Here is a 15,374-nt window from a genome sequence, read left to right on the forward strand (position 1 = left end):
AAAGAGCATTGATTTGGTTTTTTTGTTTTGTTTTGTTTTGTTTTTAATCAGGCATTTAATTTAACTGGACTCAAACTGCAAATGCTGTCTTTTGGATGTTAACTCAGATCTCACCTCAGTTTTCTGATCATTTAGGACAGCCATGGAAGAGTCCTTCAGGTCTCCTTTGCTGGGCAGCTTGGAATCTGCCCTGTACATGAGTGGTTTTCAAGGGTTAGCCAGAGATTTCAATATACAGAATTCGGGGCTCCTCCTCTCTGGCTGTTTCCTTTCCAGCATTCCCTCACTTTCTAGCAGCTTTGCTTTCCCTGAACTCTAATTCTGATTCTTCAGGCCAAAAAGATGGTTTCATTGGAGGTTTAGCTGCCTGGGATGGCTTCTCTCAGGCTAAAAGCTACAGTAAACTGGAATTAGACCCTTGATACTCCGTGCTTCCCCATTTTAACTTCTCTCAAGAATCTACCTGCTTTTTTCGTTCATTTTTTATTGCCTGCATATAGTTCTGGTGTGTTGTGTGTGTGTTTGTATTTTTTCCCCCTAAAGTTTATTTTACCTGCAGGAGGGTCAGTCTTACAGGAACTTACTTGGCTACAACCAGAAGTAATCCCCTAGGTGATTTTTTTATTATTGTTTTAACATGGCTCAGGTGTTTCCTATTAAATGCTCTGTGGATTTCCTACTTTCTTCCTTATTTCCTCTGTTCCAGCTACAGTAGCTGTACTTCTTCATAGGTCTTCAAATAAGCCCTCATCTTTCTGCCTCAAAACTTCTATACCTGAAGGACTCTTCCCCAGCTGTCCTATTTAACATTATAAACATTGTCACCCTCAGGTTACTTCCTAAACTCCTTCAATGCTTTATTTTTCTCCGTAACACTTACTTTTTAACTCAGTGTTTCTCAACTGGAGACCATTTTGTCCCCTCAAGGGATGTTTGGGGATGTATGGAGATATTTTTGTTGTTGTAACTCGAGGAGGCCACTGACATCTAGAAGGTGAAGGCCAGGGATGCTGCTAATGACCTACAATGCACTTGACAAACTCCTACAACAAAGAATTAACCAGCCTAAAATGTCACCAAGATGAGAAACCTTGTTCCAACGTAATTTATTTTTGTTTCATTGTATTAGAATGTAAGTTCGTGAGGGCAGGGATTTTTTTGTTTTTAGTTCGTTGCTGTGTCTCCAACATTTAGAATGGTTCCTGGTCTATAGCAGATACTTAAATGTTTTTTGGTTGACTGAGTAAATGAATGGATGAATTTGGAAAAAAAAATTATAACAACCCATTTCTACTTTTAACCCCACTGTATTATTAGTCCATTCTTGCATTGCTATAAAATACCTGAGACTGCATAATTTATAAAGAAAAGAGATTTAATTGGCTCACAATTATGCAGGCTTTACAGGAAGTGTGGTACTGGAATCTGCTTGACTTCTGAAGAGGCCTCAGTAAACTTAGAATGATGGCAGAAGGTGAAGGGGAAGCAGGGATGTCCTACATAGCAGGAGCAAGAGAAAGTAAAGGGGAAGATGCCACACACTTTTAAATGACCAGATCTCATGAGAACTCACTCACTGTTGCTAGGATAGCAGTACCAAGGAAAGTGGTACTAAACCATGCATGAGAAACCCACCTCATGATCCAGTTACTTCTCACCAGGCCCTACCTCCAACATTGAGGATTAAAATTTGACATGACATTTGGGCAGCGATACGTAACCAAACTGTTACCAGCTACCATCTTTATCTTACCTCCTCATTCTAGGGAAATCCTTTTTCATAATCACTTATTTCATCTGGAACTTACCCTTTCATGCCATAAATTGCATTTGCCAAAAGTGAGCATGTAGAGGATATTTTAAAATTTTTTTTGCTGTGGACAATTGTAGATGTGTATAAAAGAATAATATAGTGAAACTCCATGTTTCCGTCATCTGGCTGCAACACTTTCAATTTTACTCATTTCTAACTACTCCCCTTTCTTAGATTATTTTGGAGCATCCCAGACATCTTATTCATCTGTTAATATTTCAGTTTTTAACTAAAACATAATTCTTTTTTTAAAAAAAGTATTATAATCAAACCTAAAAGAAAAATTTAAGAATAGTGTCAATATAATGAGATATCCAATTAATGTTTACATTTTCCTGATTTGGTAATGTCTGGAGATGTTTGAACTTGAAGGAGGTGTGTTGATGGCGTCTAGTGGGTGGAAGCCAAGGATGTTAAAAACTATGGTATTCAGAACAGCTTTCTGCAACAAATAATTACCTGGTTGAAATGTCAGTGGTGCTAATGTTGAGAAACATTGGTCTGTAACCTCACCACTGGTTTTAGATACCTTAGTATTCTTTTAATTTGCTTTTTAAAATTATGAGTGAAGTCAAACATCTTTTGGGCTTTAAGGATCATTTACATATATATTTCTCTGTACTGCCTCTACATATATCTTCCCTTTTTTTTTAATTGGATTCTTGGTCTTTTCCTCTGTGTTTGTTAATATATTAGCAATATTAACTCCTTACCTGTGATGTGTCACAAATATTTTTTCTCAGTTTGCCCATTATAACTTTATTTTTACTTGTGTTTTTTGCCATATCAAAAAAACTGGTTCATTGTAAAGTGTACACACGTACCCCCCCCCCTTTTTTTTTTAATTTCATCAGCGTTCAGCTTTATTGATAACATCCTCCAACCCATCAAAATTTTTCTGTCTTCTCTGGCACTGGATTCTCTAATTATCTTTCTGTCTCTGACTGCTCCTTAATTTTTTTTAACCTTCCTCTTGGTAGAGTGTGGAACCATATCCTTAAGTATTAAGTATTCATACATAATACTACTCCAAGCTTGGGTATTCTGTCAGATACTTGTGTCTTTTTGTAATGAATGCATCAGTACTTGACTATTATCTAGGCTAAATCATCCAGCCTTGGTGACAGAGCCAGACCCTGTCTCAAAAAAAAGAAAAATGGCGTGGTGGCTCACACCTGTAATACCAACACTTCGGGAGATAGAGGCAGGAGGATCTCTTGAGTCCAGAAGTTCAAGACCAGCCTCAGCAACATAGACCCCATCTCTACAAAAATAAAATAGAAATATTAGGTGGGAATGGTGGTGGCTGCCCGTAGTCCCATCTACTCGAGAGGCTGAAGTGGGAGGATCACTTGAGCCCAACAGGTTGGGGCTGCAGTGATCTGTCATTGCACCATTGCACTCCAGCCTGGGTGATGCAGTGAGACCCTGTCTCAAAAAAAAAAAAAAAGGTTTTAAATGGGAACAGATTGTGAGAATAGAAAAAGAAATAAATGGACTATAGCATTGCCAATGTTGCTAAAATCTGTGTATTTTTGTTTAGATAGTTACATGTGTATTTTAATGTGATAAAATATATATTGTGTATACTATTTTATAACCTACTTGAAAAAGTATTTTCTCACATTGCTGACTCTTCCTTAGGCAGAGCCAAGATTATGCACTGTGACACTTTCAATACTCTTATACCTCACCTATTTTAATTGATTTTGAAATGTTAAAAAAGGAAATCCTCCCCATCACTGGAAAATAGAAGTTACATCAGACACCTCAATTCTCATACGTTAGGAATTTTCTTTTAGGTTGGTGTAGATAGAGAGTGAGGTGGAGGGGAATTTGAGGTCCTGGAGTGGCAAGGTGGTAGAAAGAGGAGGACAAGTTAGCATTGTGGTGCCAGGACTGCCCAGTGAATTTTTCCTGTGCCTTGGTTATTAGGGCTGACCCTTGAATAGGTTCTACTTTGTCTCCATAACCCCAACCTTGGAGGAACACTATCCTTCAAGGTATAAGCTCTCTAGAAGAAAGCAGAAAAGAAAAAAATTCACAATGTACTAATAACACAACATTAGACATGTTGCTATATATATTGGCAGAAGCAAAGTGGTAATGTGAAAAAGTAACAAAGCGCCCAAAAAACCCTAAGAGACAATTGGAAATTTGAATTTAGATCTAAGTGAAAATTTTAAATTATGATCATAGACTATTTAGATAAGTGTCTGGCAAAACTCTGGAGTGGTCAGAGGAACAATCATTTATTCAAAATAATAATAGTTATACTATTGCACAAAAAACAGCTTTTTGAATGAATTAGCTTTCATCTCAGAATGAAACAGGAGAAATTAATAGCGATAAAATCAGAAATTGCTGAATTAGAAAGTAAAAATAAGTCAAATTTTTAAATGTTCTTTGCAAACAGAAATAGTTCATCCCATCTAGTTAAGGAAAAGGTTGTATAGATCTCAGTTCTTCATCCTAAAACCCATGTGGTTAGATGGGTTTAAGAATTCAGAATTTTCCTTAGTTTAGAAAACCAATATATTTTATGTAACAGCACATCTGAGGCAAAACCCTGTAATTAAACTTTCTTAATACGTAGTACTAATGATCTTATAAGAGAAAAATATCTATTCCGTGATCATCTTAATAAAGGCTTTTGAAAAAGTATTTGATAAAATTAAACACTAATGACCAATAAAATACTTAAGAAATGGAGTAGAAAGATACTTTTTTGACTGCTTTAAAAGGTGTTAAGGTAGTAAACACTACTAAAAATGAGCCCCAGAGCAGTGTTACTCAAAATGTTACAGTTTGTGAGGAGGTAAGTACAGAAATGAGTAAACATTTAGAAATACAGTATTGTGACAGGTTGTTCCCAGTGGATTAGGGGAAACAACCAGTTCTTCATTGCAGACATTTTGAGATGCACTGCTCTAGAGACTTAACCTCTAAACAAAGATGGTAATATTACAAAGAAAGGAGGTATGACACATGGGTCCTTTTAAGTATTAAAAGAATTTACTAGTCCCCGTGAAGGCAAAAGCACTGACAGCTGCCTTGACTTTTTCTTTTGCAGGTAGCATCTCCGCCCCCACTTACTGATACTCCTGACACTACAGCAAATGCTGAAGGAGATTTACCAACAACCATGGGAGGACCTCTTCCTCCACATCTGGCTCTCAAAGCAGGTAAGGGACTTGAATCCATGCACGTGGTGGAGAATAAGATATACACAATCTTGATCACCATCTCTGTTTCTCGTTTTGGGTAGAAAGAACTGCAGTAAACTCTTGATGTTAAGAGACAACCCAAGGCCTTCATAAATTTGCACATATTACCAGATCATTTATTTTTTTCTTAGAACATGTGGTACAGCATAGTTCTTTGCTGTCATTGGCTTTTACTACATTTTTCTCTGAATAAATAGGTTTTCCACAGGCTAGAATATTTGGTGAAAGAATCTTATGAATTGCCTTTTCTTGTTCCTTATTCTTACTAAATATATTGTTGACTTGTTTGTTTACCCTGTGGATCCAGGCCATTGCAGAATGACTTACAGTAGGTCCTTGAATAACTTTGTTTCCTTCAATGTTATTATCTTACAACATTGCTTATAGTCTTCGTTTCCAAGAACCTAGCAGCGACATTAATTGAGGATTTACTGTATAGTCACAGCTTTTATTGGGATGTCTACCATATGGTAGATTAGGATTTGGGTCATATTGCTTAAGTCTCATATTTACTGTTTATTGAATAGCAGTAGTATCTACTTCATATGATTGCTTTTTGAGGCAGAGTCTTGCTCTGTCACCCAGACTGGAGTGCAGTGGTGCAATCTTGGCTCACTGCAACCTCCACCTCCCAGGTTCAAGTGATTCTCTCACCTCAGCCTCTCTAGTAGCTGGGATTACAGGCATATGCCACCATGCCCGGCTAATTTTTGTATTTTTAGTAGAGACGGGGTTTCACTATGTTGACCAGGCTGGTCTCAAACTCCTGACCACACGTGATACCCACCTCAGCGTCCGGAAGTGCTGGGATTACAGATGTGAGCCTCCATGCCCGGCCATAAATTAGGATAATTCTTTAATGTATTTAGGATTTTTCTACAGTTATGACTCATTAAGAGAATTTTTTTTCTTTTAACAGAAAATAATTCTGAGGTAGGGGCCTCTGGCTATGGTGTTCCTGGGCCCACCTGGGACCGAGGAGCCAACTTGAAGGATTACTACTCAAGAAAGGAAGAACAAGAAGTGCAAGCGGTAAGGCCAGCACCGTAGGTTACATCTCTGAGAATGTGATTTGGGACTTAGTTAACAGCAAAGCTTAGGATTAGGATATTCACAAGTTAATAATTGGGTGCATCTTTTAAGAGGTTATTTGAGACTACTTATTAGCACAAGTCATCATAAAGCTAAACTACCCATTTACTCTTGTTATTCACATTGCCTATGGAGGAAAAAAACAGTATTTTTTTCTTGGTAGTAATAAAAAGATCTCCTCTTCAGCTTTATAGGAAATGTAATTATCTCAGGGGACCTTATTTTATGAGCACTTAGAGTAAAAAAAAGTCTTTAGTATAGCTTATTTTTCCACTTCATGTATTCAGTGTTAAAACAAGCACAAAGAAGTTGTCATTTTTTTTTTTTGGAAGAATTTAAATGCAATGTATTAACTAATAGCTTGTTTATATAATAGGGCCTTTAGATGCAATAAAAAGTAATTCTGGTTCAGTTTTTGACTAGGATTATAAACTATCAAAAACAGCTTTTGCATTATAAAGGATAGTACAAAGACAGTATTAAAAATTTCTGTGCCTTGTTTGTATACCTAAACTTAACACAGCCAAATTTAATTATCATTGATTCTACAGACTCTAGAATCAGAAGAAGTGGATTTAAATGCTGGGCTTCATGGAAACTGGACCTTGGAAAATGCTAAAGCTCGTCTAAACCAATATTTTCAGAAAGAAAAGATCCAAGGAGAATATAAGTACACCCAAGTGGGTCCTGATCACAACAGGTTTGCTTGTTTCATTCTTTTCCTTCTGTAGTAAGTTAAGGTGGTTTTGGATATTCACTGTTGAATATAATCTATTTTTGTACGTTGTCTGGTTAATTGTGTGGATTAGAATTGAATTGTTAAAAGATAACGTTAATTTGCACAAGAATAATTATTGATTTGTGCAGTTTCCATGGTTTTCACATGAGTGAATTTTAGCTGTGTAAGAAGTTCAGCGTAAATCTTTTTGACATGCTAGACATTTAAGATGCTCATTTGAATCTGAAAGGCAAAAGTCATGACCACAATTGCTGGTTTGTCCCTAGTTGATGTAAAAGCCAGCCAAAGGTGGTGATTTTTTTTTTCACCTTGGTATTGTTAGAGGCAGTTACTATTTCTTTAATGGGTCAGGTTAGATACTTAAGCTTTGAGTCCCAGAATTAGATTGTATTGCATCTACATCCACATTTCACTTAAGCCTTGAAAACTGCCAGCTTTCCTAGGAGTCCTAGTGAAATTTAAGGGCTTATCGTAAGGTCGAAAAGGAACAGCCTTGGTCTTTGTATGTGGGGGTGTACTTTTTTCCTGTTAAATGTATAAAACAATATAAAGGGAGGTCATTTTAACAGTATGTTTCTCAGCCTGCTTGCTGTTCTTCCTGAGAGCATTCCAGGGTGTAGTAATTATTACTCCCAGGAAGGCTCATATGGATTAGACTTTTCTGGGGAGCGATGTATTTTTATTAGAACGGAGGGGAGGTTGTAATGGAAACCTTTTTGAATGATTCCGTTTGCTGTCCGTACTTATGAAATAAATTATCCAAATACATTAAAAATATTTTTCTCGAAAATCAAAGTGTTCTCCATTGGATGCATCTAGCGACCCTGAAATAATTAATATTAATACAAAATTTTGTCACTGATCAAAATGATATTTAGAGCATGGTTCCCCCTTCCTCCCACTGTTTTGTTCAATCCTGAATTCTCAGATATTTCTGGTGTCAGCCTTTTTAAAACCGTCAGGTTGCAAAGGAGTGATACATTTGTTGATGATTTGTTTTCTTTCATATTTTGTCTTTCTGAACGCATTGGGCTTGGTAGCACTTGGTGACTTTAAGAACAATGAGATACCGAAGTGTGCCTGAAGCTCATCGTTGCAGACATTTTTTGTTATCAGTATCTTATCATAGATTTCTGATACAAAGCAGTGAAGAATTCAGGAAAAGACAATGTGGGAGGCACAGACAGTTGGGGGAGCCAGGACAGCATTGCTCTTTGTATGTCCTTTTATTTAAAGGCATAACAGACAGCAACACCAGAGGTCTGTGTTCATACACACATGTGCTGCTGCTTAGGCTGAACTAAGCAATCACATGGGAAACTATTGTAAACTGATTTCTGGTGTCGCTGTTCCCCCTAGGTGGAGGAGAATGAGATTGAGTGCTGACTTTAAGCCTGGCTGAGAAACATACTGGCATCGATGTCATTAATGAAAGGGTGGATGTTGTTCCCCTGAAAGCCAGTGGCCTTTGACCCCTGAAGCCGCTGTGCCTGAAGGTCAGTTCACACGAGGTATAGGAAGGAGTCTAACATTTATTTTTTTCTTAAGCCTCACCTAGCCTTTTATTCACACCACCAAGTCTAGGTTAGAATGTATCTGAGCAGTGAAAGGACCAGAATGCATAGTTATCAAAGGGCAGTTTTTCCCTTGCTAAAACCTAAATTCATTTTTTAGACTCTGCTAGCAGTTTTAGATATAATGTTACAACATGTGTTTTGTTCTCCAGGACCTGATTTAAATAAATGTGATAAAAATAGGCTAAGTTTTTTGTCATCCAGGGCTGCTTCCAACTGCAGGCAGATGTGAGAACTCTGCCTCAGGAGCCACTGATATGCACAAAGTGTATGTGCATGTGTGAGTTTGCGTATATTAGCTTAATAGATCGCAGTCATTAATGGGTGGCCTATGCAAAGGAATCTTAAAATAATTATAACCGTAATGTAAAACATTTGGGGCCTACTTTATTTCTTGGCTCCAAGCTAAGTGGAAAATTCCTTTTCATTGAATGTGTTCTAGCTCTTGAGACTCCAGCCTTTGGAATAAGAGTAAGTAAATATAAAATCTAATACCCTAACGTTTTCCTTTCATGAACAATTGGCTCATCAACTTTGATTATAGTTGTCTTATGCCATGTTGTATATTATTTGAAGTTTATATACTTCATTTGTTCTAGGGTTGGGCAGAAATAAATGTTGGTAATTTTTTTTTTCTGTGATTTGCCTAAGCAGTTGGAAAGCCTGCCTGACTTGGGAGACCTGGATTTGCTGGTTTCTAACAGTGAAATTTCTAACCTTGCTTGTATATGTTGTTACAGGAGCTTTATTGCAGAAATGACCATTTATATCAAGCAGCTGGGCAGAAGTAAGTGTTACTGTTTCCCCAATATTCCAAGTCTCTGTATAGAGAAGGAATCTTCACATTTTAAGTCTTGAGTCACGTATACAGAAGCTGTATTATTTGAAAGAGCACATAATGTAAGATAGCATCTAGGGTATATTTTAGAATATTAGTAATTATATAAATTAGAGGCAAAGTCTCCCAGTTTGCATGTGAAAACAGACCATGTTAGTGTAATCTTTCAAAGGTAAGACACAGTGGGATGATTAGGAGTCTGCCAGTGTCAATTAATTTTAAACCTTTTTTGTTTTTTGAGACGGAGTCTTGCTCTGTCGCCCAGGCTGGAGTGCAGTGGTGTGATCTCGGCTCACTGCAAGCTCCGCCTCCCAGGTTCACGCCATTCTCCTGCCTCAGCCTCCCCAGTAGCTGGGACTACAGGTGCTGCCACCAAGCCCGGCTGATTATTTTTTGTTTTTAGTGGAGACGGGGTTTCACCATGTTAGCAGATGGTCTCTATCTCCTGACCTAGTGATCTGCCTGGCTCAGCCTCCCAAAGTGCTGGGATTACAGGCGTGAGCCACTGTGCCTGGTCTTAAACATTTTTTCATTTTTATATATACAATGAGTTATTTTGAGTGGATGGATAATACTAAGGGAGAGAGGATAAAGGCAGGCTAACTTCTGTCAGCTCACTTACCTTATCGAGGTTAATTTGGCTAGTTAGGCAGAAAGATACCTTTGTACCCCTTTGCTTTATATTCATCTCTCCTAAGGATGAATGATACAGGAGGAGAGGAAACTTTCTGTTAATATTTTCTATAAGGATATGAGTAACTTAGCTTTAGTTTAATGCTAAGGTCAGCAAACTATAGCCCTCTGGCCAGATCCAGCGTACTGCCTGTTTTTATAAGAACTGTTTTATTGTAACATAGCTACACTCACATTTTAGACTTTACAGGTCACACATTGTTATTCTCATTTTATTTTTACAACTCTTGAAAAACGTAAAGCCATTCCCAGTCCTATGGTTTATCAAACTCTGTTGTCAGTGACTGCTTTCACACATTAAAGGCAGAGTTGAGTAGTTGTGACAAGATACTATATGGCCTGCAAAGCCTAAAATATTTATTAATTGACCGTTTATAGAAAAAGTTTCCCAAATCCTGGTCTAGGTAACCACTCTGGACCCAATTACTTTTACTGGTTTATTTTTTACTCTTTGTCTTTTCAAACTATGTTTTCTTCCCCATTTTAATGTCTGATATTAACAGTGACAACTTTGTTGAAATAGGTTATTTGCTTTCATAATATTGATTTGTATGAGTCCTAGTATCAGCCAGTAATCAAAACTGTTGGTTATTTAGTTGATAAGCTGTTTGGCAATTTCTTTTGTTTAGCAGATATTAATAGAATAAAAAGGAACTAGAAGCCATGGCATACCCTGTATTTTAGGGCTTCTTGTGTACGTAAGCCCATAGTTTCTTGTGATAAGATGTTTCTTTACTCAGATGATTTCTTTCTGTCTGATAATCCTGACCTTACATTATAGGGATTTTTGCACGAGAACATGGATCAAATAAGAAATTGGCAGCACAGTCCTGTGCCCTGTCACTTGTCAGACAACTGTACCATCTTGGAGTGGTTGAAGCTTACTCCGGACTTACAAAGAAGAAGGAAGGAGAGACAGTGAGTCTTTAGATTTAATAGACTTGTGAGATAGTGTGAGATTCAATTTAGCTCTTGTTTAGTGTTTGGCTGAAGAAGTTTAATTTTAAGAATCTTACCTCAGGAAATGAAAATGGCCCTGCTAATCATCTCTGTGTCTGGCATGATGTTCATAATAGGCAGTGAGTAAATAATCATTGAAGTAATTCTCTCACAAAAGGGAACTGACTATTGGTTTAGGAATATTGTAGACCTAGTGTTGACTGTATAGTCTTAGCCCCATTATAGTAGATTTGAGTAGTGTTGTTAATGTGTGATCCTTTTTCCATAGGTGGAGCCTTACAAAGTAAACCTCTCTCAAGATTTAGAGCATCAGCTGCAAAACATCATTCAAGAGCTAAATCTTGAGATTTTGCCCCCGGTAAGCATAAAGCTGTTTAGTTCACATTTACGTAGAACTCTCCGTAGACAAGCAAATCATATTTTTTGTTTGTTTTTCTTATTTTTTAATAGCCTGAAGATCCTTCTGTGCCAGTTGCACTCAACATTGGCAAATTGGCTCAGTTCGAACCATCTCAGCGACAAAACCAAGTGGGTGTGGTTCCTTGGTCACCTCCACAATCCAACTGGAATCCTTGGACTAGTAGCAACATTGATGAGGGGCCTCTGGCTTTTGTGAGTGCAATATTGTTTTTGAGATCAGAGTCTTGTGTTTTACTCTTGAGACTATATTTGATTAGTATGTCTAGGTAAAAAATGGATTTATTTTGAAGCTGAATTATGTGCTTTTGTTTGACTATGTTGGCTTTTTGTTTTACAGGCTACTCCAGAGCAAATAAGCATGGACCTCAAGAATGAATTGATGTACCAGTTGGAACAGGATCATGATTTGCAAGCAGTAAGTCTGAATTATTTAGACAAGTAGTGCTCAGAGCTTCAGAATGTTCTAGGTATGGGTAAAAAGTCAATGAGCAGTACATTTTGCCCTTTTAAGGAGGGCATATCAAAAGATATGTACCAAACTGCTAATCCTAGTTACCCCTGAAGTTAGTTGCTATGAGTTGAGGGCCTGTGAGAGAATTTCACTTCTTAATGTAATTTAATAAAAGTGGAGAGATTTAAGGCAGTGACTCCTTTTGTTGTTGGTTTTTTTGTTTGTTTTAGTGTTTTCCAAATAAAAAATTAAAATGTTAAAAAGAATGCGTGTGCGACTTTCAGGGACAATGAGAATTTAGTTTTTGGACAACATCAAAAGATACATTCTTCAGAAGTGTAGTGAAAAGAAGTAGTTCTATTAGAGATATAAATATACACATTCTTTTTTGAAAAAAACATTTTCATCACTAAGCCAATGGAAATGAGTAAGTTTTTATAGAGATGGAAGTTTGGTTTTTTTGTTTGTTTTTTTCTTGAGACAAAGTCTCGCTTAGTTGCCCAGGCTGGAGTACAGTGGCTCAGTCTCGGCTCACTGCACCCTCCGCCTCCTTGGTTCAAGCAATTCTCCTGCCTCAGCGTCCCAAGTAGGTGGGATTACAGGCACACCCCACCACACCTGGCTAATTTTTGTATTTTTAGTAGAGATGGGGTTTCACCATGTTGGCTAGGCTGGTCTCGAACTCCTCACCTCATGATCCTCAGCCTCCCAAAGTGCTGGGATTACAGGCGTGAGCCACCGCGCCCAGTCTATAGAGATGGAAGTTTTTTAAAGGATCAAGACAGTTGCTTCTAATGTGTTGGTAGACATTTGACTGAAGTGTGACTTTTCTAATGCAGATCTTGCAGGAGAGAGAGTTACTGCCTGTGAAGAAATTTGAAAGTGAGATTCTGGAAGCAATCAGCCAAAATTCAGTTGTCATTATTAGAGGGGCTACTGGATGTGGGAAAACCACACAGGTTCCCCAGTTCATTCTAGATGACTTTATCCAGAATGACCGAGCAGCAGAGTGTAACATCGTAGTAACTCAGGTAAGTGGTAAACCAACCATGAAATACCTAGAGAGCAGACTATTTCTGATTCTTTCTTTGATTAACTAATTTTTGTAATTATTTAAGATTGAGAGAGCATTGTGCCCTTGAAATTAAATTTAAAAAAAGAAAACATAAAAACAACGTAGTCTTTTTCTAATCTCTAGTATGCTACACTAATAAGCTAAACTGGACTATGTGAGGGATTCTTTTTATCTGGGCTAAAGAGTCTCTGGGCCTAGAATCAGACTGTCGAGATTAAGAATTCTTTGTCCTAAAGTTCATCCAAATCTTGGTCATCTCTATCTAACCACCTTGATATTGAGTAAAAACCAGTCAGACAGGTAATGGTTAACTTTCACTGTATGCCATGTTCTATTCTAAGCAGTAGCTTTTTAGAAAAAACTCAATCGAAGTTCATAATGACCCTAAGATGTAAGTACTATTTCACATAGTATTTCTCTTTCAGTAAATTAAGGCATAAAGAAGGTAAAATGCCCAAGGTTAACACAGAAAGTGGTAGAACTAGGATTAAAAAACCAAGCAATCCGCCTTTTAGGATTCTTCCTTTTAACTAACACTGTATTACCTTACCAGCAATGAGCAGCGCCTGCATGTTTGTCCCAGTACTTAGGGAAGAACTGATTAGCTCTTCTAAGTGCTCTCAGGTTAAACAGTTCCGTTGGCTCTACCCTGTACTTCTGGCACTTTGTGGGAGAGCATTGCAAATAGCCAGGTACTACCTCTGAGGTAGGCTTACATCTTGACTTAGAAATTATTTTTTCCCCGATGGGTTAATGTTGCTTAACCTGGGAAACATAATCAGTTTTCAGAGGAGAGTTACAAACTTTGAAATGTGTGCATGTTCATTTACATTTGCATGTATAAAGCATATATCTGAAACTTTTTAACATTTCTGAAATTGAGATACATTTTTATAATTAGTATATTTGTATAATTGTATAATTAGTATAATTGTATATTTTATGTGAGAATTGGGTTTTCTCCTGAAAAAAAAAATTGCTGTGAAGGAATCATGTTGCATCCTAAGGCTGATGATACCTTAGGCTTGAAAAAATATGATAAATTGACATTTTTCTGGGAAAGGATTCCTAGCTTGTTCACAAAATTTTCTTTGATTTTCCGACTCACCCCTAAAACTGGCTATGGATTTTTTGACTTACAGTGAAGGCTGCAGCCCCAGATGTCATCATACTCCAATAAAATATTCTTACTCTTAATTCTTACCTCATCTTTCAGGAAGAACATTGTTCAAGAGTGCAATTTTACAGAAGAGAAGCCTTGAGCTCAGCTCTGCTCTGCTCTTCTCTTCCCTTCCTCTCCCTTCTACCACTATCCATTTCTAATCTCAAAAGCAGTTGTGGCATATAGCAGAAAGAAGCAGAATTTAACAAGCGAGCTGTGAAGACAGGAGTCTCAAGTTGTCTGCATGTCATAAATAGAGTAAAAATTCCTGCCCAAGTGAGAAGTGCTTTGTCTCACTGTCTTTTAAAATGTTCAGTGGCATGGAAATGTATTAGCAAACCTGTGTCTTCTGATTTGGGGTGAATTACTTATAACTCATATTGCATCTACATTCTGTGGCTTGCATGTTTTTGTCCTAGCGTTTGTCCCAAAATCAGTCTCATACCTCTTACCTGTAACAAGTCTTCAAAATTTTAAAAACCTATATTGTGTCCTAGTATGTACTTAGTTTGAAAGTCTCAACTAAACATTTATAGTTCAGCCATGAAGGTACAGTAAGTCTAAGATTTAAACACACTCAAATTCATCAGCACCTACCTGTAATATGAAAAGTAGGCCTGAGCATGCTGATTGGTTATTACAGAATACAGTTTTTTATTATTTTTGTTTTTAATATACTGTACTTCTTTTGGCACAGTCTGAGATAGCATTAGTTATTTTTGTAGTACTACCACTGTTGAATCATTTTTCCATTATCTTGCACTTGTAGCCATCTATAGGAAACCACATGAAGTCATCAGTTAAGTATTAGAAAGTTTTTTTATGTTCCTGATTTTAAGTGTATTATCTCAGTTCACAGAGCACAAGTTTAGAGTTATGGACTGGCGTATAACAGAATGAGTAGCTCAAACCATGACATCAGCCTTAGTGTAAATTCTCAACCAAACTCACTGAATTTTATCCTTCGGTCTATCCATACTCAAGCCACTTAAAACCTGTGGGCTGTATGCAGAAAATTTTAAGTAGGAAATAGTTGTCTTCTACCTTTAAAGTTATTTGAAAGAGATGAATTGTAATTGTAGGATGTAAATCAAGCATATTAATGTAATTTTATCAATCCTGTACTTACCCCATAGTACCATCATTTCAGGATAAGAACGGTTCTTTGTATAAAATAAATTCAGAACCTTAGAAGATAGAGATAGTGGAGCCTGATACATTTTGTAGTATCTAGTGCATTAGGAATCTTGACATTTTGTGGCAGCTTAGTCATGTTACTGTGTATATAACGCTTAGATGTGAAAAAGCAAAGTTGGGACCTTTTAGAACT

General features: G+C 37.2%; 1 protein-coding gene across 2 annotated transcripts in view; it reads left to right on the forward strand.

Annotated features, from left to right (window-relative positions):
* Positions 1-15,374, forward strand: part of DHX9 (DExH-box helicase 9) — a 48,636-nt gene that overhangs the window by 8,000 nt on the left and 25,262 nt on the right. The window contains exons 4-13 of one of the 2 annotated variants that reach the window (NR_033302.2): positions 4,887-4,998; positions 5,960-6,072; positions 6,684-6,832; positions 8,231-8,367; positions 9,186-9,232; positions 10,758-10,894; positions 11,205-11,294; positions 11,387-11,548; positions 11,694-11,771; positions 12,647-12,838. Coding sequence is in view for 1 of the 2 variants with exons in the window: in NM_001357.5 (NP_001348.2) it covers positions 4,887-4,998; positions 5,960-6,072; positions 6,684-6,832; positions 9,186-9,232; positions 10,758-10,894; positions 11,205-11,294; positions 11,387-11,548; positions 11,694-11,771; positions 12,647-12,838 (1,080 nt within the window). In the remaining variant the exon portion in view is untranslated. The remainder of the gene's footprint in view (positions 1-4,886; positions 4,999-5,959; positions 6,073-6,683; positions 6,833-8,230; positions 8,368-9,185; positions 9,233-10,757; positions 10,895-11,204; positions 11,295-11,386; positions 11,549-11,693; positions 11,772-12,646; positions 12,839-15,374) is intronic. The other variant, NM_001357.5, reaches the window with a different exon arrangement.

Source organism: Homo sapiens, chromosome 1 (genome assembly GCF_000001405.40).
Source record: "Homo sapiens chromosome 1, GRCh38.p14 Primary Assembly".
NCBI lineage: Eukaryota > Metazoa > Chordata > Mammalia > Primates > Hominidae > Homo > Homo sapiens.